General features: G+C 40.1%; 1 annotated feature.

The window, feature by feature from the left end:
* Positions 2,935–3,529: an enhancer, noted in NCBI's record as "NANOG hESC enhancer chrX:28567658-28568252 (GRCh37/hg19 assembly coordinates)". NCBI's record gives its function as "activates a minimal SCP1, AML or CMV promoter by ChIP-STARR-seq in naive H9 embryonic stem cells {active_cell/tissue: H9 hESC(naive)}" and the evidence as "EXISTENCE:reporter gene assay evidence [ECO:0000049][PMID:30033119]".

Here is a 17,585-nt window from a genome sequence, read left to right on the forward strand (position 1 = left end):
AGCTTTTGTGTAAGGTGTGGTAGGAACACCCCAAAGGCCTGAGACCTGAGCCTTTACTGAGATTACAGAACAGACTGTCTGAACTATTTTCATGTCTGCTGACTAATAAATGTTTGCTTACTAATGTTTGATGTTTGTTGAATTCATCCTCAAACTTGTTTTTTAAAAATATTGTGGTAAAATATACATAACATGAAATTCACCATTTTTAGTTATGTAATTCAGTAGCATTGTTACATTCACAATGTTATGTAACCATCACCATCATCTGTTTCCTGAACTTTTTCATCATCCCAAAAAGAAACTCTGTAACCATTAAGTAATAATTGCTTGGCCGGGCACGGGGCTCACGCCTGTAATCCCAACACTTAGGGAGGTCGAGGCAAGTGGATTGCCTGAGGTGAGGAGTTCAAGACCGGCCTGGCCAACATGGTGAAAGCCAGTCTCTCCTAAAATACACAAAAATTAGCCGGGTGTGGTGACGCGTGCATGTAGTCCCAGGTACTCGGGAGGCTGAAGCAGGAGAATTGCTCAAACCTGGGAGGTGGAGGTTGCAGTGAGCCGAGATCACGCCATTGCACTCCAGCCTTTGCAACAAGAGTGAAACTCCATCTCATAATAATAATAATTGCTTATCCCCTCCTCCCACATTCCTGGTGGCCTCTATTCTACTTTCTAGTCTTTATGAATTTGCCAATTATAGGTACCTCACATAAGAGGAATCTCACAAAATTTGTCCTTCTGTGTTTGCCTTATTTCACTTTGCATGATGTTTTCAAGGTTTATCTATTGTAGCATGTATCACAATTCTTTTTGTTTTTTCCAGGATGGGGTCTCACTCTGTCTTCCAGGCTAGAGTGCAGTGACATGATCATATTTCACTCTCGCCTCCACCTCCCAGGCTCAAATGATCCTCCCAGTTCAGCATCCCAAGTAGCTGGAACAACAGGCACATACCATGTCCAACTAATTAAAAAAAAAATTATATACACGGGGTCTCACTGTGTTGCCCATGCTGGTCTCGAACTGCTGGTCTCAAGAAATCCTCCTGCCTTAGCCTTCCAAAGTGCTAGGATTACAGGCATGAGCCACCACCTCCAGCCCCAGAATTCTTTTTAGAGCTGAATAATATTCTCTATACCACATTTTGTTTATCCATTCATCTGGTGACAGACACTTGGGTTATTTCCACCTTTTGGCTGTTGTAAATAATTCTGTTATGAACATTGATGTACAAGCATCAAATTTGTTTTTAAGGTAAAGTTCCTGATAGGCTGTGAGGGAAAAGTCTATTGCCTTCATCTTTAACTAATGGCGACAACAAATATCTACCTTAAAGAACTTAAAGTTTGGTATGAACAAATGGACTTTTGTCAGGTCATAATGCTCAGTTTCCTCATCTGTAAAATGGTGATACTGATAGTACCTACCTCACAGGTTGTTAGGAGGATTAAATGAGTTAATACATATAAAGTGCTTACAAATGTGTCAGGTTGAGTGCAGTGGCTCATACCTGTAATACTGACACTTTGGGAGGTGAGAGGATCCCTTGAAGCCAGGAATTCCAGTGAGACTAGCCTGGGCAACATAGTGAGACCCTGTCTCCATAAAAAAAGAGAAAGGAAATGTCAGTCACAGTGTAAGCATTAAACAAATGTAGCTCTTTCTATCATTAGTATCATCATTCTTTATCTTTTAGGGACACATTATCTTGCTGTTACTGTAAGTATAATTTTACCATCCCCATTTAACAATCTACCCAGGCCTTCCTTAAATTCCAGCATGTTCTAGTTCCAAAGTCATCCACCTCCTCAATCCAAATTCTGCTCCCATGTGGCTAATCTTATCAAGACAAGGAGGAGTGAGACTTTATTAACCAATTAACACCAATATATAAATTACTAAGAGACACTAACTATAAGACATCCTTATGATTCATACGTTCTTACATCTCAGACTCTCAGACTTGTGAAAATAGAGAAAAATGCAACAACTCAAGTAGAGTTACAGTACTACAGTATTTTCCTTAACCCTATTTTCAGAAATGACAATCCAACTTACAATTAACGACTTTCCCTAGAGTAAGAGAGAATTTAAAGACATGCTAGAATTTCTAGCGGTCAGGGGAATCATAAACCTCTAAACCAAGGTGGTATAAAAATGTGACCAAAGATCACAATTTAGAATGCAATTTAATATTTAATAACAGTTCACAAAGATTATAGGAATAAAATACAAGGTTAACACAATTACTTTCTTTACAAGAGATGAAATATATTTTATTTTTCTGTTTAGGCTTAATAATCAATGTAAATATTATAACTGTGATGTATCAATGGTATATTTTTAAAATAGCTGTGCTTTACTTTAAGAAAATTAGTATCAGCCGGCCGTGGTGGCTCACACCTGTAACCCCAGCAGTTTGGAAGGCCGGGGTGGGCAGATCACCTGAGGTCGGGAGTTCAAGACCAGCCTGGCCAACATGGTGAACCCTTGTCTCTACTAAAAATACAAAAAATAGCCGGGTGTGGTGGCAGGCACCTGTAATCCCAGCTACTTGGGAAGTTGAGGTGGGAGAATCGCTTGAACCCGGGAGGCGGAGAGTGCAGTGAGCCAAGATCGTGCCACTGCACTCTAGCCTGTGCGACAGAGTAAGACTCCATCTCCAAAAAAGAAGAAGGAAAAAAATTCGTATCCATAAATAAAAACAAAGCCCATAATAATAATAATAAATTATTTATAGTATATAAATTAGATAACTAGTAATAATTTCAGAAAATGATTTTACCACTGGCCTCCTTAAATAATATGCTTTCTTGATGCATTTTAAAAATATTTGTTTTTGCTAAAATCTGATTATGTTTATTGTATCAACTGAGATTCAGTTATCTATACTTTTAAAATAGAATTTAAAGTTGGTTCAACATATCCTTTTGTACTAGTCAGTGGATGATAAACAATAATAGATATGAAACTTGGTGAGTCTGATTATCTTTTTTCAAGCATTTCAAATACTGACATCAGCCAGTCCATTAAGAATTCTTTGCTGGAGTCCTTCAAAGGGTTGTGGATGAGGATGATGGTGGCTAAAGTAGTAGCATTCTGTCTATGAATTAAGAGACCTGGGTTCTAAGGCTTACTGAACCGTTAACTAGCAGTTTAAACTTTGGGAGAGCTTGTTTTCTATAACAATGAGTGATTTGGATGGATGGCCACTAACAGCCCTTATTTTTAATAATAAAAACCACGTGAAACAAGCCGAATTCTGTATGGTAAAGACAATAAGCTAGACAAAGAGATGAGCATTTGTAAAGCACCATCTAGACCACAAGAAACTCTGATTTGGTATGTAGCAGACAGTGTTGCTAATTTGCCTATATCCCCTCAGGCCTTCCCAGGGAGGTGCACCCAGGCCTGACCTACCAACTGCCAGTATCTGCATTTCCTTGCCCGAGGGCTTTCTTTGGCTGCTAGAGTCCACTCTGGGTGAGAAGCAGTTGAAAATTAGCATACACTCTGAAATCTTCAATTTATAACTGATAAGAGTTAGTATATAAATACTTCAGCTCCTCTACCCCTTGGATGCATTAACTATCCCTTGCCCTTGAGTTGAAATAATACTCGCCACCACATCCAGCTATTTTTCGTATTTTTAGTAGAGACAGGGTTTCACCACGTTGGCCAGGCTGCTCTCGAATTCCTGACCTCAGGTGATCCACCCGCCTCGGTCTCCCAAAGTGTTGGGATTACAGGCGTGTGCCACCGCGCCCACCTGATACGAATTTTCTTAAACCAAAGCACAGCTATTTTGAAAATACACCATTGATACATCACAGTTATAATATTTACATTGATTATTAAGTCTAAACAGAAACCCATTAGACGCTGGTTCTCAGAATTCCTCAGCATGATTAATCCCTGTTTAGTCACAGTGGTACTTGCCTGACAACATATCTTTTATTGGCTACCTTCCCTTCCCCATTTCATCTTCCCCTTTACATCACCTGGGGTCACCCCGAAGATACACTATTTGCAATTAAATCCTTATTCCAGGTTCGGCCTCTAGGGGAGCCAAAACTAAATGATAACTGTGTATATGACCCTAGCCTCACTCCTCTTCACCCCCAAAATTTGTCTACAAACTTTCTCTTCCTAGGCCCCATCCTGTTCTTTGGCTTCCTAGCCCACTGTCTTCATATTCACTCTTAGGCCTAGACAAGATGGCTGGGCTATTCTTACCAGATTATAGGGATTTGTTAATATATATACCTTTATCCCTAACCTTACCAGAGTGTGCATATCTTAAATTGTGATATCTTTGTCTTTATAACTCTAGTGCCTAACACTATATCCAGCACATGTAGAATTTAATTATATGAGTTTTTGTGCTTGGGAGGCATTTCTTTCCCTAATTTTTCCATCAATTTCTTATTCTCATATATTAAGATTCTTTGGTAAAATCTTCCCCAACTGCCTCACACTGAAGGAAGCACTTCCTGCCCTATGAACCCATGAAGACCCTGAGCATACTCACTTCTTGAATTCCACTTATCATATTGTCAAGTATTTACTGCTCTGCTTTTCTATTTTCTATATTGAATCAACTCCTCAAAGGGACAGATTTTGCTGTATTCCATTTTGTTTGTCCCAGGCTGTAGCAGAGCTCCTTACATATAATAGACATTGTTGAATGAATAGGGAGAGCAGAAGGATATTATAGGTTTTGCTGGGAGTTCATGCCTCTTGTGTCTCCCACATTAAACAAATTTGTGCAATCTCTATTAGGGACAAAAAAGAAATAGCAACCACAAAACAAAATATATATAGTGGCTGAAAACCACGTATTTAAGGCAGAAAGTCCTTTGCTTTGATCTTACCTTTGAAAAGCTACAGACCACCAGCTTACTGAAATTAGCCTCCTAGACTGGAATTGAGCTATAGGGCTATATGGCTACTACAAACTCCAATATATTCATTTATGTATTATTTCAGAAAAGAATTAGATAGGTATGTGAAATAAAAAAAGTTTGGTGACCACAAGTTTAGACTCCAGTCGAGGTCCACCGGTCATATCATAATGTCCCTCCGTCCATTTGGCCGTCCATATATAGAATTTTTAATACTGTCTCCATAAAATATTCTTAAATAATACACAGCAAGTCAGAAATTTGTCTTGAAATAACTGAGGACTCATCTCTTCAAGTTTCGCAAGGACATATTTATACTTGGCACATACTATAAATAACAGCTGGTAATTTTGCCACAGCCATTTTTCACTCACTTCAACTTTTTCCCACATTTATTCTTCTGCCCGTGTTCAGTCTCATTTAAACTTGAGTACCATTTTAGAGTTTTCACTAGGTCATGCCTATTGACTTATTCAGTGTTTCAAATCCTCTTTCTAACACATCATAAAGGGAGTTATAGATGGCTACTTATATACAATTAATTTTTATAAGAATGTACATACTCTTAGGCAAAAATACAGATTGTTTACAGTAAACTGAAGAGATAGATTTGGGCCCTACAGACCTCAAGAAAAAGTAGAGATACTAGTTGTAGAAAGAAAGTTCTGAAGGAACCATCGAGTCTGTAGAGATGAACAAAGAAAAAGCATGTGCCATGCTTTGGAACCTTCGATCTTGTGAAATGGATGGAAAAAAATGTAAAAATAAATATGAGAGCCTGGAGTCTGGGAGGAGTGCATCAAAGAGGTATGAACTGAAGAGTAGAGGAGTAAAGGAAAAGTAAGCATTAATTCTGATAGGGAGCTTCACAAATTCATGTAGAAACTTCACACAGAAAGTGAATTTAAGTAGGGTGCAAAGGCATCCCAGAGTTCAGGGAAAGCCCAAATTATGGAACAGTGCCAAGAAAGTTGTAGGAATGGTGAGCCATGGCTTACTCATTTTGCTTCTCTCCTTCTGCTGTCCTCACCTTTGGCCCATTCCTAGGCAAGTAGCCCAGGAAACTATTTCTCTAGTATTTGCACCACATACTGTGCATTATTTCATTATCGTTATTATCACATGATTTTTTTTCTTTATTAGTCTAACAGCTCCATGTGGGCTAGAACCAGGTCTTTTTATTTTGTATGCCTAAAATCTATCCTAAGGCAAACACTCAATAAATATTACAGGAGCTGAGGTATTAGGATAATGTACAAAAATGGGTTTAGAAATAGAAAGAAAATTTGATGACATAAATCCAGAAGTCTTTGAATACTAGTCTAAAATTGATCTAACTCTCTAACAATAACAGGAAGATATACTAATAATAGCTTCTGTTGTTATACCAGAATCGTCATATAATTTATTTCATCTTCACAACCACCCTGTTAGGTGGGCATTATCATCTCCATTTTGCAGATTTTGAAACCAAGGTTAGAGAGAACAAGTCTGGTAACTTGCCTAAGGTCATTGAGAACCACATGGTATGTCACAAGCACTGTTCAAGATGCTGCAAATAAATTAGTCAGCAAGACATACAAGTTCCTCATACTCCCTGAGCTTATGATCTAGTTGAGTGAGACCAACTTTACACAAAACCACCAAAAGATAAATAAGAAAATTTATACATGATGATAAATGGCCTGAAGTAGAGTAAAACAAACTAATATGATTGGGAATTGCTGGGCATCATGTGGAAGAGTTTGCCTTACTCAATGGATCATGATATTCCCAATATAACATTCTGATCCTGTGTTACTCAGAGAATGAAAGTGATCAAACATAAGTTTTGGAAAAATAAATAGTGGTAAAACAGAGGATTATTAGGCAACAGTATTGATTAGGAAAAAAGTAAAGATCAGCCAAAATGAAGCTTTGGAAGGTGAATGAACAGAAGCAATTGTTGTGAAAGAAAACAGTGACATGTTCTGTGGATAAAATGATTTAATAAAAGAATATGGAGGAGGGTGGAGGCAACTATGATGATGATGTGATGATATTGATGCTAATAACAATAATGACTTGTCTTGAGCATTTACTCAGTACATGCCCAAGATTACACAGGTGTCCTTGATGGAAAGTTAATTTTTAATCACTTTGAGAATTTCTGCAGAGTGTGGGACTCTCATTACAAAGTATCCAATATGATTTTGGGTGATAGTCAAGATAATTTTAAATTGTACTGTAAAGGGCATTGAAGAATATAACTATGACATAGAAAAAAAAGCTGTTCCCATTTTAAATCTCTTTCAGTCCTTTTAATTATGTCAAGAAGAAATTCTCAATTTGAGCTATTTGAGCTATTTTGACTTAACACCTCTCTAACATTTGCTAATCTCCTTTTTTTAAACAAAGAGTGAGCAGGCCTTATGTTCAGAGCCTTCGGCAGCCAGCAATATCTAGCTGAAATTTAAAAGTTTATTTTCATTGAATTTATTTTTACAGTTACCCTCTATTTATGGTCAATGATACTAGTGTACCCACTTACGGTAGTGACATATCCTCAACTTTTATGATACATTTATTTAAGTAAAAGAGTGAGTGGATTTAAAGGAAACATTAAAGATGTAACAATGTAGTTAATTTGAATATGTAGCAAAAATGTAGAAGGTGATAGAAGACTACAGTTTGACAATATTATGGTAAGTTACAAAAGCCACCTGGAATTGAGTGAAAGCTGAGAGGTTTTGAATCACTCTTACTGAAAAGACTGTGTGGTCACTTAGTGATCCCCAGGAGACTGGGTCTCTGGATAAGTTAGGAGGTCATAGACTATGACAGATTTTGCTTTATGCATGTTAAATTGTAAATGCCAGATGCAAGTAAAATATCCTCAAGAGGTCTGGCATCCAGTGGTACATTCAAGATGGACATTTGAACCTAGATCTGAACTAAGCGTATAGGTCTGTATTCATTTTCTATTGCTAGATAACAAATTACTGCACAGTTAGCAGCTAGAATCTACACAAATTTATTACCTCACAGTTCTGAATGTCAGGAGTCCAGATGGACTTTTCTGCTGGGGTTTTTAGAAGGCCGAAATCAAAGGGGGGTATTTTCTGGAGGCTCCAGGGAAGAATCTGCTTCCAACATCCTTCATGTTGTTGGCAGAATACAATTTCTTATAGGACTGAAGTTTCCATTTTCCTCCCTCACATTGAATTCTTCTCACATTTTAAATTTCTCGGACTTCTTTACTGCTACCACCCAGAGAAAACTCTCTGCTTTTAATGGGTTCAAGTGACTAGCCCAGGCCCATCCAGATAATCTCCCTATTTTAAGGTCAACTCATTAGTAACCCTAATTACATCCACAAAATCTCTTTTGCTATGTAACCTAACATAATCATGGCTGTAACATGAGGAGAGTGGGTAGAGATAAGGGGAACCATCTTATAGTTCTGCTTACCACAGCAGTCTTCTGTATAAAAATGTATTCATGTAATTATTTATTCATTCAGCAAACATTTACTGAGTATCTATTACATTACAAAGCAGTTTGGTAATCATTTGTGTATTGAACCATGGAATAATGTCTCTCATACCTTTGATGTGGAACATTCAAGCAAATGTTCTTGACAAGGGAATAGGAGTGGGGCACTGAGAGTATCTGCTCTAATGTACTCCTTGTACCACTCCGATGCACATGTGCCTCCATTAAGTTTATTCTTTCCTGGCATTGCTTCTTCAAGAAAGTGGCCAGTAATCATTCCTTTTAAAAAATAGAAATAAAGTTTTTAACAGGTATATCATACTGCTGCAGTTGATTTTGAAGCCAGAATCAACATTCTTTGTTTTCCTCCTCCATCAGCCATTTCAGATTCCCATTGCCCAGCACCTGTGCTGATTTAGGCTTCCTGCCCTATGGGATCTGGGAGCCTGATTACCAGACCCTTTTCAGGTCATGGTTGAGACAACTACTTGTTCAAAGTTGCCACCAGGCATGGAAGCACCAAAAAAACCAGTGAGTCTACTCACTGGAACAGGAATTCCAGAAATACTCCTTCTTGCTTCCATTATGTAGCAAAAACTCTATATCTTCATGTTCATCAGGGTCAGTAACTCATGGCAATATAGTAAATCCTCTTTTTGTGCTGGTCTACTGGTATGAGAAACTCAAAATGGCCGGCCAGTAGCCTTAGCTTTAATAACATTGTGCTGTGTTCCCTGCTAGAGCTGACATCCACACCTAGGAGCCAAGATTTTTAGTTCAGCCCAACCTAAATTTGAAGAGATAGGAAGCACAAATTCCCAAAGTGGGTCCTTGGGAAGAAGAATGAGAAAGTTAACTCCAACTTTGACTTTCTTTTGATTCACATTATTTTTCAAGTTGAACAGTATCCCAAAATAGCATATTTAAGCTCCTGTAAAATAGCATATTTAAGCTCCCCTTTAACCATTTCAACATTCAAATAGACCAAATAATGATATATATGGTAGGATCAGGAGATCCCATCAACCCACGCCCCACGCCTTGCAGTTTCACCAGAAGGTGAATCCCTGGGTCTGAGGCTGTGTTAGTTGGCATTCCATATCAGTAATTCAGGCTGAGTGTGGTGGCTCACACCTATAATCCCAGCAGTTTGAGAAGATGAGGTGGGAGGATTGCTTGAGCCCAGGAGTTCAAGACCAGCCTGGGCAACATAGGGAGAACCCATCTCTACAAAAAAATTGATTTAAAAAATTAGCTTGGCATGGTGGCACACACCTGTAGTTCCAGCTACTTAGGAGGCTGAGGTAGGAGGATCACGTGAGCTCAGGAGTTGGAGGCTGCAGTGAGCCATGATTGCACCACTGTACTCCTGCCTGGGTGACAGAGACAGACCTTGTCTCAAATCACCTCCCACTCCCCAAAATTAAAACAAAAACAAAAAACAAAAAACAGTAAGTCAGACAGATACTCACTCTGTGGGCATTCAGATATTCATATTGGCAGTGGTACTGTAGGCAGTAAAGCCAAACTTATACCATAAATATGTGTCAGACCAAACAAGAACATATTTCTGCCTTCTCTTGGATGGAAAGGGTTGTGAGTGAGCTGAATAATGGCCCCCAAAGATATCAGGTCCGAATCCCTGTGAACTGTAAATGTTATATTATAAAAAGGGTCTTTGTAGATGTGATTAAGTAAGGATATTGAGATGGGGAGACAATCTTGACTTATTCAGGTGGCCCCCTAAATGCAATCACACCTGATAAGACAGAGACAGAGGGACATTTGACACAGACAGAAGAAGAGAAGGCATTGTGTTTGGAGTGATGTGGCCACAAACCAAGGAATGCTGGAAGCCACTAGAAGCTGTAAGAGGCAAGGAAAGAATTCTCCTCTAGAACCTCTGGAGGGAGCACAGCCCTGTTGACACGTTGGATTTGGCTCAATGGTACTGATGTCAGATATCTGGCCTCCAAAACTGTGAGAGAATAAATATTTGTTGTTTTAACTCACCAAATGTGACTGGTTATTTGTTAAAGCAGTCATAAGAAACTAATTAGAGGGGTGTAATGTAATCTACTTGCCACTAAGTGGCTGGTTATGCCCCTTCAAGTAAGGTACCTGTGTCAGTCCATTTTCACACTGCTATAAAGAACTGCCTGAGACTGGGTAATTTATAAAGAAAGAGGTTTAAGTGACTCATAGTTCTGCATGGCTGGGGAGGCCTCAGGTAACTTACAATCATACATAAGGCACATCTTATGTGGTGGCAGAAGAGAGAGGGCGTGCAGGGGAAACTGCCACTTTTGAAACCATCAGATCTCATGAGAACTCACTCATTATCATGAGAACAGTGTGGGGGAAAGCACCCCCATGATCCAATCACCTCCCACCAGGTCCTTTCTTTGACACATGGGGATTAAGGGGATTACAATTCGAGATGAGATTTGGGTGGGAACACAGAGCCAAACCATATCATTCTGCCCCTGGCCCCTCCCAAAGCTCACATTCTTTTTACATTTCAAAACCAATTATGCCTTCCCAACAATCCGCCAAAGTCTTAACTCATTCCAGCATTAACTCAAAAGTCCAAGTCCAAAGTCTCATCTGAGACAAGGCAAGTCCCTTCCACCTAGGAGTCTATAAATTCAAAAGCAAGTTAGTTACTTCCAATATAAAATGGGGGAACAGGCATTGGATAAATGGTCCCATTCCACATGGGATAAATTGGAAAAACAAAGGGGCTATCGGCCCCATGCAAGTCTGAAACCTAGCAGGGCAGTTATTAAATCTTAAAGCTCTGAAATAATCTCATTTGACTCTATGTCTCATATTCAGTACATGCTGATGCAAGGGGTGGGATCCCACGGCCTTGGGCAGCCCCTTCACAGGCTGGTGTTGAGTGCCTGTGGCTTTTCCAGGCACACAGTGCAAGCTATCAGTGGATCTACAATTCTGAGGTCTGGAGGATGGTGGCCCTCTTCTCACAGCTCCACTAGGCACTGCTCCAGTGGGGACTCTGTGTGGGGGCTCCAACCCCACATTTCCCTTCCACACTGCCCTAGCAGAGGTTCTCCATGAGGGCTCCACGCCTGTAGCAGACTTCTGCCTGGACATACAGGCATTTTCATACATCCTCTGGAATCTAGGCGGAGATTCCCAAACTTCAATTTTTTTTTTTTTTAATACAGGGTCTCACTCTCTCGCCCAGACTGGTGGCCTGATCTTGGCTCACTGCCACCTCTGCCTCCCAGGCTCAAGGGATTCTCCTGCCTCAGCCTCCCAAGTAGCTGGGATTACAGGCACACGCCACTACCATCCGGCTAATTTTTGTATTTTTAGTAGAGATGGAGTTTCACCATGTTGGCCAGGCTGGTCTCGAACTCCTGACCTCAAATGATCCACCTGCCTTGGCCTCCCAAAGTGCTGAGATTATAGGTGTGAGCCACCATGCCCAACCCAAACCTCAATTCTTGACTTCTGTGTACCCCCAGGCCAAATACTACCTGGAAGCTGCCAAGGCTTGGGGCTTGCACCCTCTAAAGCAATGGCCCAAGCTGTACTTTGTCCCCTTTTAGCCACAGCTGGAGCTGGAGCAGCTGGGATGTAGGGCACCAAGTCCTGAGGCTGAACACAGCAGCTGGGCCCTGAGCCCAGCCCAGGAAACCATTTTTAACTCCTAAGTATCCAGGCCTGTGATGGGAGGGGCTGCCAAGATCTCTGACATGCCCTGGAGACATTTTTCCCATTGTCTTGGCTATTAACATTCAGCTCCTGGTTACTTATGCAAATTTCTACAGCAGACTTGAATTTCTCCCCAGAAAATTGGGTTTTCTTTTCTTTTCTTTCTTTTTTTTTTTTTTTTTTGAGACAGAGTCTAGCTCTGTCACCTAGGCTGGAGTGCAGTGGCGCAATCTTGGCTCACTGTAACCTCTGCCTTCCAGGTTCAAGCAATTCTCCTGCCTCAGCCTCCTGAGTAGCTGGGATTACAGGTGCATGCTGCCACGCCCGGCTAATTTTTTGTATTTTAGTAGAGACGGGGTTTCACCATGTTACCCAGACTGGTCTCGAACTCCTGAGCTCAGGCAATCCACCTGCCTCAGCCTCTCAAAGTGCTGGGATTACAGGCGTGAGCCACCATGTCCGTCTGGGGTTTTCTTTTCTATCACAACATCAGGCTGTAAATTTTCCAAACTTTTATGCTCTGTCATCTCTTGGATGCTTTGCTGCTTAGAAATTTCTTCTGCTAGATACACTAAATCATCTCTTTCAAGTTCAAAGCTTCATGGATTTCTAGGGCAGGGGCAAAACGCTGATAGTCGCTTTGCTAAACCATAGCAAGAATGATCTTTGCGCTAGTTGCCAATGAGTTCCTCATCTTCATCTGAGACCATCTTATCCTGGACTTCATTGTCCATATCACTATCAGCATTTTGGTCAAAACCATTCAACAAGTCTCTAGGAAGTTTCCCACATCTTCCTGCCTACTTCTGAGCCCTCCAAACTGTTCCAACCTTTGCCCATTACCCAGTTCCAAAGTTGCTTCCACATTTTCAGGTTATCTTTATAGCAGTGTCCCACTCCCAGTACCAATTTACTGTACCAGTCCATTTTCACACTGTTATAAAGAACTGCCCAAGACTGGCTCATTTATAAAGAAAAGAGGTTTAATTGGCTCACAGTTCCACATGGCTGGGAAGCCTCAGAAAACTTACAATTGTGGCAGAAGGCAAAGGGGAAGAAGGCATGTCTTACATGGTGGCAGGTGAGAGAGAGAGAAGGAGGAAGTGCCAGACACTTATCAAACAACCAGATCTCATGAGAACTCACTATCGCAAGAATAGCATGGGGGAAAGCGTGCCCATGATTCAGTCACCTCCTAGCAGGTCTCTCCCTCGACATGTGGGGATTATGGGGATTACAATTCAAGATGAGATTTGGGTGGGGATACCAAACCATATCAATACCACATTAAGAGCTCATCATTGTTCTCTGCTTCTGACAAGTTAGATGTTCAGAAATGGCAGTAGCTAGATCAACTCAGACGAGAGAGATTCATGTTCCCGCACCCACAAGTAGTCTTCAACACTGACACCATTTCTATAGCATTCATGGAGCCATCGCTCCATTGTAAAACCACCAATGATCAGAGGATAGAGGCTGGCTGATGTCCTCTGGACAGTCATCCTGTTCACCTAATACTTCACTGTCTTTTCTGTGGTAGATAATATCTGGTAGGTATTGACATGCTAACCAAATAATCATACAGTTTGTATATGTCCACTCTCATAGACACATCTACATGCCTTTTCACCTGACCTCTTTGACTCTATTCTTTCCATTTCATTCCTTCTAGAAGCCTTGGCCAACCAGTCAAGCCATTTACCATTGCCAAGAAATCCATATAGTCTTAGCCGAGACTTCGTATCCCTCCATACAAGTTGATGAGCATGTGTATTGCTCAAAGCTCTGCCCACTGGAATAATTTACCCTTACCACTGTCACTTAAGGCCACTCCTATGTGGGACTTTGATGTAGCAGCAGTCCATTTCAGCTTGCACTGACGTATTGAGCTATACCATGTACAAGGACTGATTTTTTCCTTCTTCATCAGGTCATCATTGGGAACACTCCATGAGGCCATAGTTTTAAAAGCAGAAATGTCAGCAACAGAGGTAGGTGACCTGGGGATTCAGACTACTTGTTTATGTAACTTATGGATACCTTAGTGAGAAACATCCTGAACTAGAGAATTCTGTTTTATATAATGAGTTTACTTAAAGAGGCCCACTTCTGTAAGCCTTTTCATGACACTTTCAATATTCTACCAAGTTCTTTTCAGTAACGTTACCTTGCTTTCTAGAACCTATTGTTTCCAAGTTTCAAAGAACCATCTGACCTGAACTTTAAGATTGGTTCTAGTGTTCCTGCCAGGATGTTAAATCTGATTCAGGAGAGTGCCTCAATAAAATCTCCTCTATCCAGCCTTAAGTTCAGTGACCTTTATCCCAGTCCAGCACCGACAAGATCCTTTCCCGGCATGTTTTCCCATTTCCTAAAGGAACATATTTGCCTGATTTGGCAGGAATAGAACTCTCCTGCCTGGATCATGCTGAGATTTATCCTTAGTTATTGGTAGAAGCAAAGAGGGAAAAAGAGAGCAGATCCGTGGGTTCACGTTTTTCAAGTTCTTCCATTCAAGTGTCCCATTCCCATATCTTAGGGTCCTACACTTTATCAGGGCTTACCTTTAGGACTACTTTTACAACCAAATCTTGGTAGTCATTCTCAGCATATTCTGCTCTAGGATATCAGAACCTCCTTACAAGCTGCCAAGTAGCCTTCTGACTTCAACACCATGCCTTGAGCTGATAGTTGGCTGACCTCAGTCTGTAGACTTTTTCTTTAGGATTCCAATCACAGTTAAAAAACAGCTGGCCAAATATACAAACCTTATAATTCCCTTTGCTCTTATTTCTCTAGTGTGCTGGAGCTATTGTGCCTATATCCCATCCCAGTTCACCACATGTAAAATAATTAGTAATTGTGATGCTAGAACATGCCCAGGCTTATCGACAATACCCTGCTCACCACCATCAGTGGAACTTTGTTACTATTTAGCTAGGAAGTGATCTAATGTGAGCATCCCATCCTACGGTTCTGCTTCCTAGGACCACTTTTGATACCAACTATCTTAACTTGGGATTTTCCAGAAGCAGATGCTGAGACAAAAGTTTGAGAGAAAGTTATTTATTTGGAAGATGATTTCCAGGAAACACCAACATAATAAGAAAGGAAAAGGGGGAGGAAGAAAGCCAATGAAAGGAGCGTACGCATGCAGATAGCCAGTGTGGCAACATTGCTCAATCCTGGAAAGGATCACTGGGAGGGAGTATTAAACAGATTTGTGCAATCCCTTAAGAGCTGAGGAAGCTGGAGTATCTGTCTTCCAACTCCTATCCATCACTGGGTGAGGATTTTAGAGACCCAGCACTCCCAACCAGCCCCTTGCATGTATGAGCAGAGATCGTGCCTCAGGCTGAGAGCCACAGGTGCTTGCAAGAAGACATTGTTGGAATGTACTGGAAAGCTAAAGGAGTAAGATGGGTTCTAATTGGGATATTCAAAATGCTGTGAGAAAATAGATTCATTCTGCTGGGGGGGAATTCCAACAAGGATTCAGAAATGGAGCCATTCACCCTGGTAGCTGATATCATGAAGTAGATGCAATTTCCAAAGTGGGAGGGGGATATGATGTGCAGGAAGGGCTAAGCCTACTGACAGAGGAATGTCTACATTTTAGGAGTGGCTTGAGAAAGTGTTAACAAATGTTGAGTTCAATGTTAGTAAAGCTCAGTGTTAGGAATGGCAGTCATTTTTCAGACTTCCAATGTCTCTGAACTCATAACCATTGGAAAACTTTAATTGGGAAGGAAAAAACTTAAAAGTCCCCTATTGAATTTGTTCATTAAGTGAAATTATAAAACAAAGGAGATGGCAAAAGGAAATACTAAACAATTTCTCTTCTACCATGCTTAACTTTTTTCTCTTTATAAGGATTCACAAAACAGCAAACCATTCAGAGGTTTTGAACACAAGCATGAATTTCATTTTGCTCTGACTTTTGTAACTTAAATAACTAAGTGATTTTCAATTCAGCAGTTAGAAATCTTTCTGCAAAAACATGCGCACAATTTTTATTCCCATGCTGCCACCCTCTTTGCCACTTGCAGAGTGAATTATTAGAACAAAGTTATAAACCTCCAGATATTCAATATCTATAGTAGAAAATACTGACATGACCATAAAAAAATGCTTTCTTTTTTGTCTAGCTTTGCTCCCTTCTTCAACCTTTGCTCATTCCCTTTTCCCTTGGCCCTCTAAATATACAAGCCAGCAGCATTTGCTTTGCTTTGCTTTTTCACTCTTGCTTACTGCCTTTTTAAAAAGGGGTGGCTTGGATTAGAGATATGTGTTAACCCTCTAAGATTGTTGAGGGAAATATTGATATTTGCTGGAATTAACTGAATTTCTGTATGTTAATGTTTTGTACTATTTGTTTGTTCATTCTGAAGAAGCATGTGAAGAAAGCCAGAGTCTCCATTTTTGAATTAAGTAAAGGGCAAAGCAAGTTGATGGTTATAATAGTCATGATTAATTCTTTTTAATATCCCCCAAAATTAACACTTTTTTAATTCATTACTGTTAAAAATTTATTTGCTGTAATTGTAAAAAAAACTTACATCTTAGGATACAGGCATCCATGAATTAACCAAAAGAAGTGGAAGTAGTAAATAAATTTTTAACTGGGGACAAACCTGCCAATGTCACCATTTCTTTGTTTCAATTCATGTTACATCTAAAAATGGAAATATTTTTCACTACAATTTGCAATTAACAAAAAAAAGCTGGACGTGGTGGCTCATGCCTGTAATCCCAGCACTTTGGGAGGCCGAGGCGGGTGGATCACCTAAGGTCAGGAGTTCGAGATCAGCCTGACTAACATGGTGAAACCCCGTCTCAACTAAAAATACAAAAATTAGCCAGGCATAGTGGCAGGGGCCTGTAATCCCAGCTGCTTGGGAGGCTGAGGCAGGATAATTGCTTGAACCCAGGAGGCGGAGGTTGCAGTGAGCCGAGATTGTGCCATTGCACTCCAGCCTGAGCAACAGAGTGAGATTCAGTCTCAAAAAAAATGTTTGCTTTTACGTAATATTCAAAATTTAATGTTGTATCAATATTTTTATGAGTAAAAATGTTTTAAGGACTTTAGCCTGGCATGAGTGGCCACCTTTCCCACAGGAGTCGTTGATAGAATTCCCATTATATACTTTCTAGGACTATTACAGAAAAATCTCTAATAGACGGTGGGAGAAAAAAACTCATCAAAAATATTTGGAATATTTACTGGGTGTGGGATATTGTATGATATTCAAGTTGAGGTGAATTCCTGAACTTCCTTTAGGGGTAATAATATTTTCATTCCACAATTATAAATAAAGTAAAAGTGAAGATGATAATTATCACTAATAGTATCTAGAATTTATTAAATACTTACTATTAGCCTAGCAGTGTACTAAGATCTTGACATAATTATCTTATTTAACCTCGTAACCACCCTGACTTGAGGGTACTAATATGTTCATTTCATTAATGAGAAAATCAGTCTCAGAGATGTAAAGGACTTCAAGTCAAAAAGCAAGT

The sequence above is a fragment of the Homo sapiens genome, chromosome X (assembly GCF_000001405.40).
Source record: "Homo sapiens chromosome X, GRCh38.p14 Primary Assembly".
In the NCBI taxonomy this organism is placed as follows: Eukaryota; Metazoa; Chordata; class Mammalia; order Primates; family Hominidae; genus Homo; species Homo sapiens.